The 19,814-nt window shown below is 48.4% G+C and overlaps 1 long non-coding RNA gene and 1 other non-coding gene across 2 annotated transcripts in view, besides 1 other annotated feature; both read right to left on the reverse strand.

Annotated features, from left to right (window-relative positions):
* The window catches only part of LOC105372687 (uncharacterized), a 55,307-nt gene that overhangs the window by 29,648 nt on the left and 5,845 nt on the right, over positions 1-19,814 (reverse strand). Inside the window, exons 3-5 of the long non-coding RNA XR_007067670.1 lie at positions 1,682-1,717; positions 807-905; positions 167-350 (exon numbers count right to left, since the gene is read on the reverse strand). This is a non-coding gene — a long non-coding RNA (uncharacterized LOC105372687). The remainder of the gene's footprint in view (positions 1-166; positions 351-806; positions 906-1,681; positions 1,718-19,814) is intronic.
* Positions 13,036-13,537: an enhancer, noted in NCBI's record as "H3K4me1 hESC enhancer chr20:55892097-55892598 (GRCh37/hg19 assembly coordinates)". NCBI's record gives its function as "activates a minimal SCP1, AML or CMV promoter by ChIP-STARR-seq in primed H9 embryonic stem cells {active_cell/tissue: H9 hESC(primed)}" and the evidence as "EXISTENCE:reporter gene assay evidence [ECO:0000049][PMID:30033119]".
* MIR4325 (microRNA 4325) lies at positions 17,497-17,586 on the reverse strand. Its single transcript, NR_036219.1, has one exon. It is a non-coding gene; the product is annotated as a microRNA 4325 (primary transcript).

The raw sequence follows: 19,814 nt of genomic DNA on the forward strand, positions 1-19,814 counted from the left end.
CGAGACTGTAACTTCAGGAGAGCAGGACCATGCCTGTTGGCTGTCCATGGCATCCCCAGCCCAGAGCAGTGCCCACCCCCAAAGATTCTTATTAAGTAACCACTGCGTAAGGAACAGCCCTGGGGGAAGACTGGGCCTAGATAACCCTGAGACAGGCAGTCCTCACCATACATGATGCCTATAGGGACAGAGGAGAAGGTGTGAGATTGCTCCCAGCCAGGAAACACAGGGCGTCACAATGACCCCAGCTTTGGAGAAATACAGGGATGGGGCAGCCGGGGACACAGTGGGAGAGGCTGAGAGAGCACTGTGTCTTCTGGCCAGGCAGGAAGCTGGATATGGAGGTAGGCCTGCGGGAAGAAGGTTAAGTACCAACATGTATTCTTTTGTCTGTAAAACAGACCCACTCTCTTCATCAGGGGAACTGCTTTTTCCCAGTATGCTTTCCCACCATGGTCCTGGTACAGCTGCTGATCCCTGTGACCAGATCTCCTGGCTATGGTGTGGGGCACAAGACTCACAGCCTCATGCCCTTGGCCACCATGGTTTTGGGTCTTTACAAAGGTATTTTAATGATGCAGGGAAAAGTTTACACTACTTAAGTGAAGCAGCAACACATACAATTCTATGAGTACAATGACCTCAATTGTATAAAAATATCTATAGTGCATTTAAAAGCGCTAGAAGGAAATATGGCTTCCTCTGAGTGTGAGATTGTGGGCAATTTTTTCCTCTATATTTTCCAATATGTCATGCGTTACCCTATAACCCCGGAAGAAAACATTGCTAAAAGGGGGGAACCACACCTGAATAGCCTCTTAAGAAGAGCGTTCTGCCCACAGGTTGCCACGGGGCTGCAAGCGAGGCAGCTGTTGAAGGGGTGACAGCCAGAGCTCCTCGGGCCACTGCCGTGACAACAGAAAGGGAGAAGGTGAACACTATGAGAGATTTCTAAGAAAGATCTTTGTACAGGACATTTGATGGTTTTGTCTTCTCTTCTCAGAATGTTAATCTTTTCTTTCTTCTAGGACTTTTCCTCAGAGACTATAAACTGAATGCTTGTACCCCCAGTGTGATGGGATTTGGAGATGAAGCTTTTGGGGGATGACCAGGGTTAGATGTCAGGAGGCCCTGGTCTGATGTGATGGGAGTGGTGCCCTTCTTAGCAGGGACACCGACCAGAGCGTTTGCTCGTTGATGCCCTACCTCCGTGCACACCGAGGAAAGGCTGTGTGAGCCACAGTGAGAAGGCGGCCATCTGTAAGCCAGGAAGAGGGCCTGCGCCAGAACCTGACCATCTTGACACCTGGACCTTGGACTTCCAGCCTCCAGAATGGTGAAAATATATATTTCTGTTGTTTAAGCCACCCAGTTTACGGTATTTTGCTACAGCAGCCGAAGTAGGCTAATACAGAGACCCCCACCCAACCCTGCAACTCTCTCCACATAGTCCGGTGGGGCTGAGCCTGGCTCTGTCCACGGGTGAACTGGGCAGAGAGTATTGCATCCTCCCACCCCCACGAGCAGGGATGGACAAGCCTGGGTCAAAGATGGCTCAAGGATGGACACCTGACCCAGGCCAAGTTCATCAGAGTCAATACCACTCAGTCCCAGAATTCCTTTTGGAAGTCTTTTGAGAGGCAACTCTCTCTGCTGGGGTTATTAGGAGCTTTGGACATACCTGGAGCTCCAGACCACCATCTTTCTGGGAAAGTGCCTGCCTGAAAAGGAGACAACACAGAGAAAGGCACTATTTGAACACCTGGACACAGCCTTGCCTGAATGAAGCCATCTACTCTGCACATTTCAGTTACATGAGCTAATGTTTATTTTTCTGTTGGGCTGGTTTGATTAGGTTTTCTGTCACTTGCAACCTAGAGTCTCACTCATACCCAAAGGCAAAACACACATAGTTGCTTTTGAAGTTGCTCCAGTAGCCACACCTCCCAGATTTGCCCTTGGTGTTCTGCAGATGGCTGTGAGCTGGCCCTCCTGCCCAACAAGTCAGGCTCCTTTGGGGGGCCTGGGGCAAATCATCACAGCTGCCCAAATTCACTCCCCAACACCTGCTACTCTTTCTTCTTCCTCTCCTCCTCCTCTCCCCTTACATTCTTCCCCCTCTTCTTCTCTGTAGAGCCTGTCTTCTCTCTTGAGGGAGACTTGCAGACAAGTTGAATCTGAGTGTACAATCTAGAGCCAGACATCCAGGATACCATAAACATCAGACATCAAGTATTCCAGCTGCGTGACCTAAGCAGATTTCTTAACCTCTCTGAGACTCAGACTTTTTTCCATAAATGGGGATAACAATTCCTACTCATGGTCGGGCATGTGGCTCATGCCTGTAATCCCAGCACTTTGGGAGGCAGAGGCGGGCAGATTACTTGAGGTCAGGAGTTCAAAACCAGCCTGGCCAATATGCTGAAACCCCATTTCTACTAAAAATACAAAAATCAGCCAGGTGTGGTGGCAGGTGCCTGTAATCCCAGCTACTCAGGAGGCTGAGGCACAAGAATCACTTGAACATGGGAGGCAGAGGTTGCAGTGAGCTGAGATGGCACCTCTGCACTCCAGCCTGAATGACAGAGTGAGACTTCATCTCAAAACTAATAATAATAATTCCTATTCATGAAGAGTTTAAGTCATGCACGTGTGCCTGGCCCATAGGGAGGACTCATTAACATTGACTACTATTGCAAATCTTTACCTTCTCTCCCCAGTACACAGCCTAAGTCTACCACTGATGCTCATAGCTACGGGTGACCTTGAGCACTAAAGAGGCTACCAGACCTTGGCCTGCTCCTTGGAAGTCGCCGTGAGGTTATTTGCAGACTCTGTTAGTCGATGACTTAATTCTTCAAACAGGGCCCACCCCAATGAAATGCCTGCCTGCTCAGCCTGTTTTAAAGAATATTTACCACCATTGGCAAGGTTCAAAGCAAGGACCAGTTAATGACTATCCCTAATGGGCCTTCAATCTAAGGCAAGTTTCATCTTGCTATGCAAGGAATGGAGCTTCCCTTAGGTGAGGTTGCAGCAAACAGCCTCGCCTTGCAAGGAGCAGTTTGGCTTAAGGAATAGGAAGCTCATGGGAGCCACACTGTCTGTGTCCTGGGTCCCCAGGCTCAGCACTCTTACAGCAGAAATATGCAGTCAATGTATGGACATTTGCTACAGGGCACTAATAAGTCCCATCATGAATTTAGCCTGTTAATTAATTGGAATCACATGCCCACCCTCAACCATCACTGGGAATGCTACCGGTTTGTGATATATATTATTGAAGATTTTTCTATTCACACAACACTCTTCAAAAATCCTGCTATTTGTGTAAAATGTTGAACACCACATGACACTGAGGTCTCATCCCAGCCCACGTCCTTGCATAACTGAAGATTCCCTTGAAATGGCAGGCGAGTTGGTTCAAGATGTTTGGAAGTCACTGGGGTATATAGGGCCTGGAGCTGGTCCTTCTGTAAGAAAAGGGATCTGAGTGGTGGAATTGAAGCACCTTGTCTGCATTTGACGTTTTTGTGAAGTGCACTGCATAGCATCATTATCTGTGCAATTGTCTCCTCTTCCAGGCTGAACTGTAAGCTTCTGGAGGGCAGGATGGGTCTCCTCTGAGGCCCCGTATGCTTACCAGCTGAGTACTTTGGCGAGCTTCTTTCATTTCCTCATCTGCTAATTGGCATCCTAATGGTTCCTGCTTCATCAGCTGCCGAAGCGTTTAGTGACTGCTGCCTTCATCCAGGCTGTGTCCTGCAGGGTGTCTGAGTGCTTGACATGCGTGACCTCATTTAATCTGGGCAATACCCCAATGAGATGGGTACTCCTATTATCCCCATTTAGAAATGTGGAAACTGACACAGAGGGAACCTAAACAACTTGCCCAAGGTCACAGATCTACCAAGTGCTGCGGCCAGAAATGAACCCAGGCAGTTGGTCACTGGAGCCCAGCTTTCTGACCCACATCCCACTGCTCCCTGGTTCAATGTAGAACAGATGTGGAGATGTCCCATGGCCTCTGCACCCAGCCGTCCATCAATGGTAGCCATCTGGCCATTATTTATGTCCTCTACAGTACTCAACACATATCATAGGTTGTCCAATAATTTAATATTTAGTGAATGGCTTAGTGCCACTATTCACCAAATCTTGATTGAGTTCCTACAAGGCACCAGACAACTCACTATTCTAGACACAGGGAAGGAAGCAGCAAAAGACTTGCAAAGCCTCTGTCCCCCTGAAGCTGCCACTGCCGGCAGCACCCGGAGAGTCAGATGTAACATCAGACATCATCACATCATGTCAGAAGGTGATAGGAAGAAACATAAAGCAGCCCAAAGGGAAAGACATGGACAGGAGTTGAAAGGGGAAGAATTTACGGTTTGTTTGAAATGTGTTATGTTTTAAAGTGGGAGGAGGAGTGAGAAAAGCCCCAAAGGGAATGTATTTGCGAGTTTGTCATACTTTGGTAAAATTAAATACCACCACACAGCAGTGAAAATTATACTAGGGTTTTGAAATGGCAACCGAAAGAGATGGCTGATGAGGTTGCACTGGGGGTTGGAGTGCTTATACCACATCTACTCGCCCCAGCTGTTGGAGCCTAGGGCTCAACGTGAGGACCAAGGCCAGGACCCTGCAGGGACTCCCCACATCCCCCTCACCAGCAGCTTAGCTGACTCAGCAAGGGGCCTCTTGGATGTGTCTTTTGCCTATTTTTGGGTGAGTGGTAAAAAGATCAGCACAGCCTAGTATGTGAAGTCGTTCATCTGTGACCAGCACATAAGAACCCATAACCCCAAGATGGAATCTCAGCAGGGTCACAGTGGGGATGCTGTACCCCTGGGAACGGCAGCCAGACAGCCGGACACAGTGAGAAGCTGACCCATACGGCAGTTCACAAGCATGTGATGATAGGGACAGCTTCCCTCGTTGCATGTATTATGCAAAAGAGGGTGGGAGTTTCAGTGTTGCAGATAAATGGATAAGAAGAAAAGGGAAACAGGTCTCTGTGCAATTATCTCCAACACTGAGTCACAAGCCACACAAGTCCCTTGCTTGCTGGAGGCTGTGACCTGTGGGCTGATGGCCCTGGTTGGTGACCTCAGATGCTGCCTCTCGGCTTCTCTGTCTTCTTCGAAGATTCCCAAGATTTCAGTGGCGACTTCATTAGCGTCCAGCTCCAGTGCTCCAGGGGGATTCAGCTGTGCAGTGTCCAGCTTGAAGTTGGCTAAGGAAATCTGCATGGAGAGCCAGAGCTGGGATTTAAAAGCAACAGAAACAGCAGTTTCTGACTCAGGGCTTCCCCTTGGGCTGTGGATAATGTTAAGATGGTCGAGGATCTCACCAGGGGTTCCCTCCCCCAGTTCAGGTACCTCACCCTCCCCTTCACAAACTGATGGGTTGAAAAGACTCTCCAAGAGGGTAGGGGCTATCCCCACCATTTGCTGTTCCAGTGATCAAGGTCCTTTTGAGCTGGCACCAAGACTGCCTGCAGAAGTCATAAGAGGAAACTGACAGAAACATAGCAAGAAAGTCCAGAGTGTTCAGAAATCATCAAAACACCCCCAAGGAAGTTGGATTTCATGTGCAACTAACAGGCCCCCTCTTCGTACGCCCTGCCCTGAAGACGGAAGTGTCAGCTGCCATAGCTGAGTCCCTAAGAACGCGTCATGTTTGTCCTTTTGCCTCTAAAAGCTGAGCATGTGGCTCACTTGGCTGTCCCCAAAAGAAATCCTTCTTGACAAGAACATTCTAATTCTATTAGTGAGGGGTTTGAGCCAGGGGTTCTTGGCTCTTCCTTGTCTCACTGGGGGAGTGCACCAGGACCAGCCATGACACAGTGAGGCAGAGGGCTGAGGCCAGCGCTGGGCTCTCTAGGAGCTGGTGGGGCTCCACGCAGCAGGATTTGTTGATGACATGAAAATGCTCCCCACCACCCCACAAAGGAAGCATCAGGGCTCGTGTCCTAGGAGAAACCCTCTGAATAAGACGAATAAGCTCTGCAGTGTCTAAGCCTGGCCTGGATTTAAGTCCTGGCTCCACCACATTCTTGCTGCAGACCCTTGGGCAAGTTCCTTAACCTCTCTGAGCCTCAGTTTCCTGGTGTTTAAAATGGAGATAATAATAGTACTGACCTCATATGACCTTTATGAGGACTCGTGGGATAATGCCCATTGAACTCCAGCCAGAGCCTTTCCTGTTGTAAGTGCCTCTAACCGACCATTAGCCTTACTCAGTCACCACAGTGAGGGGCTTCCATGTTCTAGCGACTGCGCAGCTGTCATTTATCAAGCTCTCAGTGGCACTAGGAACTGTGCAAAGTGCTTCATACACATTGTCACCTCATTTAATTCTTTTTATTTTTTGAGATAGGGTCTCCTTCTGTTGCCAAGGCTGGAGTGCAGTGGTGCCCCAGCTCACTGCAGCCTTGACCTTCCAGGCTCAAGCAGTCCTCCTGCCTCAGCCTCCAGAGTAGCTGGGACTACCAGCTCACACCACCATGCCTGGTTAATTTGGGGGGGAGTATTTTTGGTACAGATGGGCAACCATGTTGCCCAGGCTGGTCTCAAACTCCTGGGCTCAAGCAATCTACCCACCTCGACTTCCCAAAGTGCTAAGATTACAGGCATGAGCCACCCGGCCTGGCTGCCTCCCTTAATTCTTACAAGGAATCATGATGTAGGACTGTTATACATCAGTCAGAATGAATCTAACAGTAGATCACAGATCATGCATTAAGTGGATTGGACAATAAGGACAATGTATCTTCTCCCGGAATGTGATGTCCCATGTCCATGCAGTCCCAGCTGAGACCAGTGTCCCCATAAACTCTTCAGGGACCCAGGCTCTTTCCATCTCTGTGCTCCCCCATCTATGCCACCAGCTGGAGCCCTCATGGTAACAGGGTGCTGCTGCAGTTCCAGGTACCACATACGGTCTGGACGACATGCTGGTGGAAGGTGTCTGCTCCTGGATGTCTCTTTCTTAGGGAGTGAGCCTTTCTCCGAAGCCCGTGGTACACAGGCCCTCAGGTCTCGTCTGCTGGGATTGGGGCATATGCCTCGACTCGGCCCGGCCCACAGTTCACTAGAAAGAAATTAGCCAGAGTACTCATCTTCCATGGTGGGAGTTGGATTGACTTTGCTGGAGAAAAAAGAATGGGGAAAGGCAGCAGTAGATTTAGTTTTCCAAAATGCACACTCACATTCTACCAGTTGAGCACAGAGAGATGAAGAGCGTGTCCAGTGTGACATTGCCGGGAGGTGGCAGCTGGAGTGACTCACAGCCGCAACACACAGCCTGACCACTATCTTCCTCACCTTTCCTACCTGGAGTATTCAAGAAATCCTTCCCTCCCTGAAAGTCATATTCCAACATTTTCTTTTTGAAGTTTTGGTTTTCATAGACAGAAGAAGTCCTTCCTTCCCCAAGAGTCATATTTTCCAACATGTTCTTTTTGAAGTTTTGGTTTTCATACACAGGTGTTTAATCCATCCTGAATTGAGTGTTGAGTATGATATATGGCTGGAATCAATTTTTGTAAGGTATGGAAAAATAGTTGTCCCAGCATTATTTTTTGAAGGACCCATTCTTTTCCCTTGTCCTCAAGGCCACCTGAGTCACTGAGCAAGTTTCCGTTCTGTTTCATTCATCTCTTTCTCGATCACTATTTCAATATCAGCCTCTCTCAATAACTAGAGCTTTGTAAACAACTCGATGTCTGGTGCACCCTCCCTTCATGTTCTTCTCCAAATTGCCTAAATTATTCTTCGCCTTTGTTTTTCCATATGAGTTTTGGAATCAGTTTGTTAAGTTCCACTGGGAATGCAACATCCTGGCTGGCCCAGGATGTGCCGTGGTGTTTACAACTAATTGATCACAGCCGGTTACAGATTTATTTGTTCCTTCCCCACTCCCACCGCTTCACTTGACCGGACTTAAAAAGAGAAATGCAACATCTAAAAGTAATTGCTGCAATTTCAGTGAACTTCAGTAAATGTGGATACATTCTTATCTTTATAATATTGAGTCCTACATCCATGAATATGGCCATGTAGCTCCACTTATTCTGATCTTCTTTCATGTCCTTAAATAATGTTTCGTGATTCCCTCCATACAGGTATCATCAATATTTTCTTAGCTATGTTCCAAAGACCCACATTGGCTTGAATAGAACCTTAACAATTGTGTGATCCAGTGGCCCTACTTACAGGTGGGAGACCTAGACGGCAGTTGGCTCTCAGTAGAAGATTCCATCCAAGTGCCCACAGGAATGGTGGTGAGTCACTGGGAGCTGTGGGCATGAGAGGCAGGGGTAGTGAGGGTGCAGAGGACCTCATGGACAACGTCATCCCCAGGAACGAGCAACACTCATCAAGGCAGAGGATGGGAGGCGGCATTCGAGGTGAGGGTGCAAGGGTCTGGCGTGGGAGATCACAGGCAATGGATGATAAGTGTGTGGCATTCTCAAACTCTAGGGAGGCAAAACTGAGTTGACAGTTAAAATCCAGGATTGTGAAAGGGGGTGAATGTAACCTTTGGCCAATACAGACAGATCTTTTTATCAAACTGATGGAAATGGACAGACAAAAGATGTGAACAGAGTTTGAGCATGTGCTCACAGTGATGAGCATTGTCATCACAACTGAAAGACAAAAAGCAATAATAATAATAATAGCAATCATGATGGCTAATGTTTACGAGCACTTAATATGTGCTAGGACCTGTTCTAAGCTTCTTGCATGTATGAACTCACTTAGTCCTCATAATAATCTTGAGGTGGGTACCTTACCATCAGCATCTTACAGATAGAGAAACTGAGACCCAAGAAGATGGAGAACTTGCCCAAGGCTACCAGCTGGTAAGAGGCAGAACTCAGGTGTGAATCAGGCACACTGGCTGCAGATTCTATGCCATTAACCACCAGGAACCAAAGTGAGTTTTCTGTAACTGGGAATGGGAGTTAATCTCAGGGACTCTCGAGACTGCTGGTCTCGTCTGCTGGGATTGGGGCATATGGGATTGAGGCCTAAACCGATCTTTTGAAAGACATACTGAACTGACTCCCCATCAAACGTGGTAGAAATAAAAGCGGCTGATCACTGGAAGCCCAGTGATTGTAGGACAATCATCCCAGAGGTCTCCAATCAGAGGTTTGGTGACTACTCCCCTCTTCCCTCTATTTTCTTTCCTGAAGTTATCCTGTCTCAACAAGATGCTAACGAGTTAACTGAGAAGGTCTGAATTGCTGATCTTTGGCTCTCCTTCCAGACACCTGTGACTTGCTTTGGCCAAGCAAAAATGTGCATGGAAGTGACAGGTGTCACTGTGTGACATACCACTCTCCCTTTCCCCTGATGTTGTGACTGCAAAAGTACAAGTAGAAGTGGAGGCTGCCTCACCCTGGGTCTCAGAGCCGATAGTGCTTCTTAACCCACTTGCTCAATAGAAGAGCTGGCATTAGCAGACAAACTCGAGTGACAGGAAACGTGCAGGGATGCAGAGTGTCACTGGGATAATCGAGTTCAAGGGGTTGCCCAGCTGCCAGCACCACCTCCATATGTAGGGCTAATAAAATAATTACAAAACACATGGATATGGTTTTCAAGGTAGTCAGAAGAAAGCAGTATGGGTGATGGAAAGGACACTGCTACCCCCAAACAGAAGCTCCGGGCATGATTCCCACCTGTGCCACTAAATCAGGCAGCATGGAACTTTATTTAAAGACTGGTGGGCTGAGCACTTGCATAGGGCACATGGAGGGAAATTCGCAGAGCCCTTACAACAAGACCATAACCAAACCTACCAGACCCATTGAACTCTGTTTTTATTCAGCAGCAAATCAGGAGTTCCAAAGACGCCAGTAACAAGGGTTTCTACTTTAAGAACCCCCAAACTCTTTGAAGCTGAGTCAAGGGAAGTGGGAAACAAAGTCATAGACATACAAAATTTCTTGTGGACCCCATTACATGAAGCTCACACCTCTTTTGCTTCTCCTGATTACAAAACAACCTCTAACTTATAAAATAATTTAAGTATCTCAGAAATATGGAATGCAGAAGGTGAAGTCCCCACAATCTAACCTACTAATGTGGTATGTGACATAACCAGCTTTTTCAGCCGACGTACCTCCGGGCAATATGGTGGTTCTGTTACCAGCTGTAGAGTTTTCCACTGCAGTCACAGGGAGAATTGATTGAGTCAATTTTGTATTGTATCAGCGAATATTTGAGTGTTGGCAATTTTTTTGCTTTTCCAAATAGTGAAGCATGAATAATATTGTGCCAACTTCGATGGACCCCAAACACTTTAGAAGAGATGTTTGGTGCCTCCAGAGTCCTCAGAAATGATGGTTTCTACCACTGATGGAGCACTCACCACATGTCTTTACATAGTTGATGCATTTAGCCCTCAACCCTATGAGGTAGGAATGGTCATTATTCCCACTTCACAGATGAGAAAACTGAAGCTCAGAGAGGCTGAGAAACATGCTCAGGGGGCACAGAGCCAGTAAGTGGTGGGGCTGAGACCCGAACCCAGGCATCTGTAGAGGAAGCCCCTGCACTCTTCTATGTGATTGTTGCAGCCATTTGGAGAAAAGGCAAGGAGTGGGTGGAGAGTGACAGACAGAAACCAGGGAGAGGTTAGGGACAAGCCTGGACAGAAGTAAAAGCATTCACAGGAGGAAAACATTAAAGTTTGCCTTCTTTTCTGGGCTGGAAAAACAGAATGCAATAAACTATTAGGCAATAAGGCAATGGCTTGCATTATGTCCCCATTAAGGAGCTTCATAAAGTCACAGCAGAGGAAGGCAGAGCCTGCTGACTTGCTGAGGGGTCCTGGGCACAGTGACAATGGAAATTCATGCCTCTTTTGCAATGCTCTGGATGTACAGGTCAGCAAAGAGGTAGAACAGCCTTGTGGTTAGTGTTTCAGCCTGCAGATCTGGATAACCAGGGCCTCAGCTTTTCCTGAAGCCTAGCAGCACCTTGGAAAGTATGATCACCTCCAGATTCCTCCTCTGTTCAATAGGGATTCCAACAATGCTTGTGACCATAAGAAGGCGTATGTGCCTCCCTTGGCACCATGCCTGGTGCCCAAGAACTAGAGATACTTTTATTATTTTCTGCCACTGTTGCTCTTCCCTCTGAAATGCTCACCAGGCCCTGTCTCCACTTCTGTGCTTAGACATAGTGACCCTGCCCTCTTGGTACTAAGCGGCTGGGTTGGAGGGCCCCTCAGAGGTAGGTCAAGAGGTTGGCTCTGCCCACTCACTTGCTGTGTGACCTTGGGCAACTGTCTCGACCCCTCTGAGCCTCAGTTTCCTTATATGGAAAATGGGGGTCATATAGACCTACATCCCCCATAAGGTTGAGACAAGGATCAAATGAGTAAATGCACGAATAGCTCTTAGCATGGCAGCTGGCACGTGGTCAGTACCCTTTGATATTAACTGCTCATACTGCTCTTGATTCATTTGACTAACACTTATTTGAATGCATATTGAATGCCAGGCAGTGTTCTAAATATTGCAGGCAAACCAGTGAACAAAACCAGACAAAGTCCTGCCCTCAGGAAGACCTTATTCTAGGGGGAAGCGAGGGGACAACAGCTAAATATCCATACCGTCAGGTGGGGAGCAGCATAGGAAAGGCATTAAAACAGGGTGGGACTGCTTATTTAGGGTGACTAAGAAAGGAGGTGACACTGAGCTAGTCACTCATGTTTTTGGCTCTCCTCTCAGACACCTGTGACTTGCTTTGGCCAACAAAGCGTGCATGGAAGTGACAGGTGTCACTGTGTGACTTGCCACACTCCCTTTCCCCTGATGCTGTGACCATGAAAGTGCAGATGAGTCTGTGGCAACTTGGGTCTCAGAACCCCCTAGAATGAGGTTGGAGGTGTTGTGTGTGTGAGAGATAAACATTTGGTGTGTCGGGGCATGGAGGACTTGGGGTTGTTTGCTGCTGCAGCAAAACAGAGTCTGATACAAGTCCTGTGTTTTAAGGTAGCACTTGAGCAGAAACCTAATGGAAGTGAGGGCCAAAAAGCCACGGGGCTGGGGTGGGGAAGGTGTCACGGGGCTGGGGTGGGGAGGGTGTCACAGGGCTGGGGTGGGGAGGGCATCACAGGCTGCGGGAACAGCAGGTGCGCAGGCCCTGAGACACAAGCATACCTGGTGTCCTTGAGGACCACCGAGGAGGCCTGTATGGCTGGAGCTCAAGCAGAGGAGATGTCATGAGAGAATCACATGTGTACCGGGGAGAAAGGGACCCGATAAACTCCTCAGGCTGTTGCAAGGTTGATTGTAATGATTATTGGTATTGGGGAGGGGAATCTCCAAGCCAACCAGTCCCTCTCCTCCCAGACCTGTTTCCAGTACTGCATTTTATTTTATTATATATATGTATATAAATATATATATATAATATATATGTAAAATAGAGTCTCGCTCTGTCACCCAGGCTGGAGTGCAATGGCGCAATCTTGGCTCATTGCAACCTCTGCCTTCCGGGTTCATGCCATTCTCCTGCCTCAGCCTTCCGAGTAGCTGGGACTATAGGCGCCCACAACCACGCCCGGCTAATTTTTTGTATTTTTAGTAAAGACAGGGTTTCACCGTGTTAGCCAGGATGGTCTCGATCTCCTGACCTCACGATCCGCCCGCCTCGGCCTCCCAAAGCCAATACTGCATTTTAAAAACAGCAAGAGGAAAATGTAAGTGTCAGTGTGCACCCCCACCACCCCTACAGGCTGGGGCATCCTGGGCAATCCCCCAGCCCCAGTGGACCCATGGCTCCAGGGGGCCTTGTCCTTGCTGGCTAGGGAACCCAGGTGGCTTCATGCTTGGCTGCAGGCCTCGTTTGTTTGGGGCTCAGACAGACTTTCCGAGCCACGTCTGTTTACGAAGGTGACTCTTGCATGTGCCTCCCAGGGCTGCTCCGTTTGTCCAAGCATCTGTTCAGCTGATTTTCTCTATTTATTTCTCCAGTAAACAACCAGGTCAAAGGCAGGGCTCTGTCATAGTTCCACAAGTCCCGCTGCCTGTGCCAAGACCTAATAGGATGCAGAGATAGGGGGGTGACCTGAACACAGCAGAGCGCGACACTCTGGAATCTCCAAACTGTGTCTGAGTGCAGGCACCCACGGCACCCAGAGGTGTGGACCAAGCTGGCCATTCTCAGGGGCATCTGCTGCTTTGGCCGCCAGCATCTGCTTCCTCTCTTGCTGCAGGTGGCACCCCAGTGACCCCATAAAGGACCACTCTCCACTTTCACAGTCCAGGGGGTTTCAGGGTGGGCCTGGAGCCCTCTGCCCCACTTGCCTCCTGGAGGAAGTGCATGGCCTAGGCCCAGCCATTAAATGTATTCTCCCCACAGCTGCCCACCTTTTGTGATTGGCTTCACAGTGACCTTGTGACCCAGCTGGGCCAAGGCATGTCATCTCCAAGAGTTTTACGAGACCCATTGAGAGAAAGGTGGGGGTCTTTCTGCCTGGATCACTGGGATGGCAGGGTGAAGGCAAGAGCTGCTGGCGACCATCCTGGCCACCGTGTGGGGAGCCCTCCTGAAAACGCAGACATACAGAAGAGGGCGAAGGGCAGGGATGGAAGGACACAGGTTTCCGAAAGTAATAGTTGAGTTCCTGGATCCAGCTCACCCTGAAGTCCCTGGATTTGGAGGATAAGTACTTTGTTCTGGTTTCCCGTCCCCTGCAATCAACAGGGCCTGACTGACTCACATACACACATCAGTTGATAGACGGATAAATGTAAGGAAGTGGGCTGCGGTGGTGGAACAAAAACTCGGCAGGATGGAACCTGCGAGAAGGCGAGTGTGTGGCGGAGGGCCAGGCGGTCTGAGAGTCACACATTTCTGGCGGCTTCCCGCCTCCCTCAGCATAAAAGCCAAAGTCCTCACCACAGCAATCAGTCCCTCCCAAGCCTCATCTCCGCCTTCTGCCCCTTGTGCCCCCTGTCCTAGCCACACAACTTCTATATTTGTTTTCTATGCTGTGTAACAAACTGCCCCAGATTTAGCAGCTTAAAACAACACCTGTTTATAAGTTCACGGTTCTGTAGGTCACAAGTCTAGTGCAGTGCGTCTGGGTTCTCTGCTCAGGCTGAAATTACATATTGCCAGCTGTGCTCTTACCAGGAGCTTGAGTTCTCTTCTGCGCTCATTTCTCTAACTGCAGGATCCAGGTCCTTGTGGTTACAGGACGATAGTCCCCATTTCCTTGGTGGCTTTCAGCCAGGGGCAGCTCTCAGCACCTGGAGAGGCCACCTGCATTCCTTGTCTCATGGCTTCCTCTATCTTCAGCCAGCAAGGGCCCCTGGAATCCTTTTCGTGCTTCCAAACACTCTGACCTCTCCTGCACCAGCCAGAGAGGATCCTCTGCTCTTAAAGGGCCCCTCTGATTAGATTAGGGCCATGAGGATCATTTTCATATCCTAAGATCAACTGACTTGGGACTTTCATTTCAACTGCAAACCCTTCGCAGCAGCACCTGGATTCCTGTTTGGTTGAATAATCGGAGAATGAGAATCTGGAGCCAGCTCTAGAGTTTTGCCTACCATGGCTGCCTTGGTATTCCTCAAACGCCCCAATCATGCCACCATGCAGGCCTTGTGCGTGCTGTTCTCTCTGCCAAAAAGGTTCTGCCTGCAGCTGGCCACGTGGTTCGCACCCTCACTACGTCCCTTCCTGTACAAATGTCCAGGTCTCTGTCCAAATGTCCCTTCCTCGAGAAGCCTCCCTTGACCTCCTTACATAAACATCACCCTACAGCCCCTTTACCTGCTTGATTTTTCTCCCAGAGCTTATGTGATGTTACAAATCTATTTGCTGTCTCCCCACACTGGACCAGAAGCCCTGGGAACAGGGACTTTATTTTGTTCACAGAGTCTGGCACAAATAAGTATTTGCTGACTGAAAGAATGAATGTAGTTCTTCAATTTCTTGGCAGTCTCAGTAGTCACCCTGGGGTCTTTCCCATGTTTATTTGTCAGCCCCTGGCCCCAGGGAGAGAGAGTGAAGCTCAGATGGAGAACCTAGGCATTGGAAACAGACTGCCTGGCTTCATGTCTTATGGGCCAGCCCTTTACTTCTCAAAGTCTGTTTCTTCCTCTGCAAAATGGGGATCATATGGCCGGGCACGGCGGCTTACGCCTGTAATCCCAGCACTTTGGGAGGCCAAGGTGGATGGATCACGAGGTCAGGAGTTTGAGACCAGCCTGGTCAACATGGTGAAACCCCGTCTCTACTAAAATACAAAAATTAGCCGGGCGTGGTGGCGGGCGCCTGTAGTCCCAGCTACTCAGGAGGCTGAGGCAGGAGAATCGCTTGAAGCCAGGAGGCGGAGGTTGCAGTGAGCTAAGATCGTGCCATTGCACTCCAGCCTGGGCAATAGAGTGAGACTCTGTCTCAAAAAAAAAAAAAAAAAAAAAAGGATCGTATCAGTATGAACCTCACAAGGTGTCTGCAAGTGCTAAATAACATAATCCAGATAAAGTATCTGGCATCCAAATCAAAACCATAAGGTGACATTGTGTCATACCCACCAAATGGGCAAAAAGTAAGAAATTATCAGGGCTTGGCAAGAATGGTGTGGTGAAAACTCTTCCATTGGAGTGTGCGTTGGTTCAACTGCCTTAGAGATTCAGTTGGCAAACTCCAATGGAGGTGAAGATGTGTGTATCCTACGTCCTGCCCAGAAGACAAACACAGGAATCTTCATCACAGCATTGCTGGCAACTGCATCTACCGATCCACATACTGCTTACATCAAGGAGATCTCACAATGCTCACTCACAGATGCCACTAGCAACAATACGGCTTCAACCAGCTGACTACTAGGCACTAGAGCAAGCACTTTACATAAATAATCCCATTTCATCTTTATTCCCATTTTACAGGTGAGAAAATGGAGGCTCAGAGAAGGATAAATCACTTCCTCAAGATCAAACACTTGGGAAGAGGCAAAGTTCTCATTGGCATCTAGGACTACAGGGGGAACGGGGGAGAGAGAAAGGAGAAGGGGAAATGGCAGAGCAAACAAAATGCCAGCATCCACAAGCCTCAGAGTGCTCTCTTCTGTAAAAAGCTCAACACCGAGCTCACCATGTGACCCAGCAATTCCACGCCTAGGTGTCTACCCAGGAGAAATAAAAACATGTATCCACACTGCAACTTGTACCTGAATGTCCACAGCAGCATTATTTATAATAACCCAAAACTGGAAACAACCCGTGTCCAGCAACTGATGAACAGATGAACTACATGTGGTCTCTCCATGCAGTGGAATAGCATTTGACCATAACAAGGAATGAAACACAGATCTATGCTGCGTGGCAGTATCTTGAAAACACTACACTCAGTGAGAGAAGTCAATCACAAAAGGCCACATACTGTATGACTCCATTTATGTGAAATGTCCGGAACAGACATATTCATAGACAGAAAGTAGATGAGTGGCTTCCAAGGGCTGGGGGAAGGGAGAATGAGGTGAGACTACTAATAAGTACAGAGTTTCTTTTGGGGGAGACAAAATGTTCCAAAATTAGATTGTGAGGATGATTGCACAACTTTTTCAATACACCAAAACCCATTGAATTGTATACTTTAAAAGAATGAATTTTATGATGCGTGAATTAGATCTCAATAAAGATGATTTTAAAATGTTTTCTGAGGGGCTGGGTGCAGTGGCTCATGCCTGTAATCCCAGCACTTTGGGAGGGTGAGCTGGGTGGATCACCTGAGGCCAGAAGTTCAAGACCAGCCTGGCCAACATGGTGAAACCCTGTCTCTACTAAAAATACAAAAATTAGCCAGGTGTGGTGGTGCACGTCTGGATTCCCAGCTACTCGGGAGGCTCAGGTACGAGTATTGCTTGAACCCCGGAGATGGAGGTTACAGTGAGACGAGATCACGCCACTGCACTCCAGCCTGGGGGACAGAGCAACACTCCATCTCAATAAATAAATAAATAAATGTTTTCTGAGGATCCCTGGTTTTCAGAGTGTTCAGGGAGTTGGTGGGGGTGGGGGACGTGTCATGAAAATATAAGTTTAGTGAATGCAGGCTAAGCAAGTCCAGCAACAGTTTTGATACAGGTCTTCTCAGAGACTTTAATTTGTGGATATAACTAGTGATACTCCCAAAAGGAGTATGTACTAATACCAGATAATGCTTATTGAGTATTCGCAGTGTTCTAGTCATCTATTAGCTTATTTATATGTATATTAACTAATTTACTCCTCACATTAGCCCTCTGAGATGGACCCTATTATTCCACTTTAGAAATGGAAAAACTGGGGCACAGAGAGGTTGAGAATCCTGCCCAAGATCACACAGCTAACAAGAGGCAAAGCCAAGATCTGAACTTAAATAGCCTTGCTCTGGGATTCACGCTAGACTGCTTATCTTGGTACAGTGTACAACATTTCCAAAACAGGTTTGACCATAGCTTACTTGAATAGGAACAATCTCAAAGGATCTGCCTTCTCTCCATCCTTGAGGTCTGCCTCCTGGATCTAGAAGCATCTCTCACTGAGACAAGTGCAACATCTTCCCCATCTCCTTACCTCCACTCTCCCTCCCCACACTGCACTCTCCTTTTTTAACACACACGACATCCTTCCCTTGCTTCAGACCCTCTGATGGCCTCCCACCACTCTTAGACCAGCGTTTCTCAACCTCAGCACTATCAATATCTGGGACTGATGAGTTCTCTGTGGTAGGGGCTGTCCTGTGCTTTGCAGGACATAGGCAGCATCCCTGGCCCCTTCCCACTAGATGCCAGGAGCAACTGCCCCCAAATGGGTGGCAACCAAAAATGTCTCCCAACATTGCCAAATGTCCTTTGAGGGGCAAAATCGCCCCCACTGGAATCACTGCCTTAGAACAGAGTCCTGTTTCCTCACTGTGGCCGATAGACGTCCCCGCTCATCTCTCCATCAACGTTGGCCTGCTCTCTGCCCTTTAAGTTCTCCCAGTGAATCTCTCCGCAGGGCCTTTGCATAGCTCCTCGCTCCCTCTGCCTGGAGCTCGTCCCCTCAGATCTTCTTCATAGCTAAGGCTTTAGCTCCAAGGCCCTCACCTGAGACAGGTTTCTTCTGCCCTCCTCTCTCCCACCTTCATTGCACTTTCCTGCCCAGTCACCCACTTTCCTACCACACAGATTGTTTTTCCCTCTAACACACTGTGATTGAACTTAAATTGTGTATTTTTTTTCCTTCTTTGTTTTTCTTTAGACATGGGGTCTCCTTCTGTCACCCAAGCTGGAATGCAGTGACTTGATCATAGCTCACTGCAGCCTCAACCTCCCGGGCTCCAGTGATCCTCCTGCCTCAGCCTCCCAAGTAGCTAGGACTACTGGCATGAGCCACAATGTCCAGCTAATTTTTTAAAAAAATGTTTTGCAGAGATGGGGTCTCAATGTGTTGCCCAGCCTGGTCTCAAACTCCTGGGCTCAAGTGATCTTCCTGCCTCAGCCTCCCAAAACGATGGGATTACAGGCATGAGCCACTGTTCCTGGACTTTTTTTTTTTTTAATCTGCCTTCCCCAGCAATGTGTGTGCAGGAACTTGGTGATGCCAAGCTTGGTTGAATCTCCAGTACTAAGAAGGGCCCTGGGAACCATGAAGGTGCTTAAACCATTTGTTGGATGAATCATAAGCCTGCCAATGTGTAAATTGGGCAGCCCTTCTGGTGTGTGCCTAGGAGTGGAAGAGACAGAGATGTGGAAAGGAAAACACCTTTTGGGGTTTCATCGCCTTGGGTTTGAACACTGGACATGCCTTCTGGTCCTTTGCAAAAGTGCCTCTTTCTCCCAAAACCAGTTGCCAAGAAGTCTTAAAAAATGGAAAACAAACAATAAAAAAGAAAACGAAGAAGCGAAGGGAGAGAAGGAAAATTACTTCAGTTTTAAAAGTCTCCTTAAATCAGAGCAAGTCTCTGTTTAATGTTGACTGATTTTCAAATAAAGCAGAGATGAGGTTTTGGAGCTAGCTGGAAAACACTTGTGATGGGGTGTCTCTAGGTCAGGGCCTCAGGATTCCAACCAAGGGGGAGGGTGGAGGAGAGCAATTAGCAGCTCAGCGAGGGTGTGAGGAGGAAAGAAATAAAGAGCAGAGAGGATGAGTCAGGCTGGGCTGTGGCACAAAGCCACCCTGCGTGCTAACAAGCAGAAAGCGAACCAGGTCGGGGAACCTCCCCTGCAAATCCCCAGGGCGACTCAGTGCAGCAGAGGGAAGCTGCTTTTTCTAAAGCCCTCCTCAGCTTTCTCCATCTGGGTCTGTAGTCTGTGAAGGGATTTTGCAGGCTGCAGAGATTTTGCTCAGCATGACTTATCCTCCCGGGCTTGGCTGCTACTTCAGTGAATGAGAGGCTGAGATTGAGGCTAGCTCTGAAGTTCTCAACCTGGAAGCCCCAGCCAGAGGAGTTCTGGAAGGTTACAATGGAGGTTCTAAATATTTTAAACCTAGGCCGGGCACGGTGGCTCATGCCTGTAATCCTAGCACTTTGGGAGGCCAAGGTGGGCGGATCACCTGAGGTCAGGAGTTCAAGACCAGCCTGGCCAACATGGCGAAACCCCATCTCTACTAAAAATACAAAAATTAGCTGGGCATGGTGGTGGGTACCTGTAATCTCAGCTACTCAGGAAGCTGAGGCAGGAGAATCACTTGAGCCCGGGAGGCGGAGGTTGCAGTGAGCTGGAGATCACACCACTGCACTCCAGCCTGGGCGACAGAGCAGGACTCTGCCTAAAAATAAAAAATAAATATTTCAAACCACCTACGA

Source organism: Homo sapiens, chromosome 20 (assembly GCF_000001405.40).
Source record: "Homo sapiens chromosome 20, GRCh38.p14 Primary Assembly".
Taxonomy (NCBI): Eukaryota; Metazoa; Chordata; class Mammalia; order Primates; family Hominidae; genus Homo; species Homo sapiens.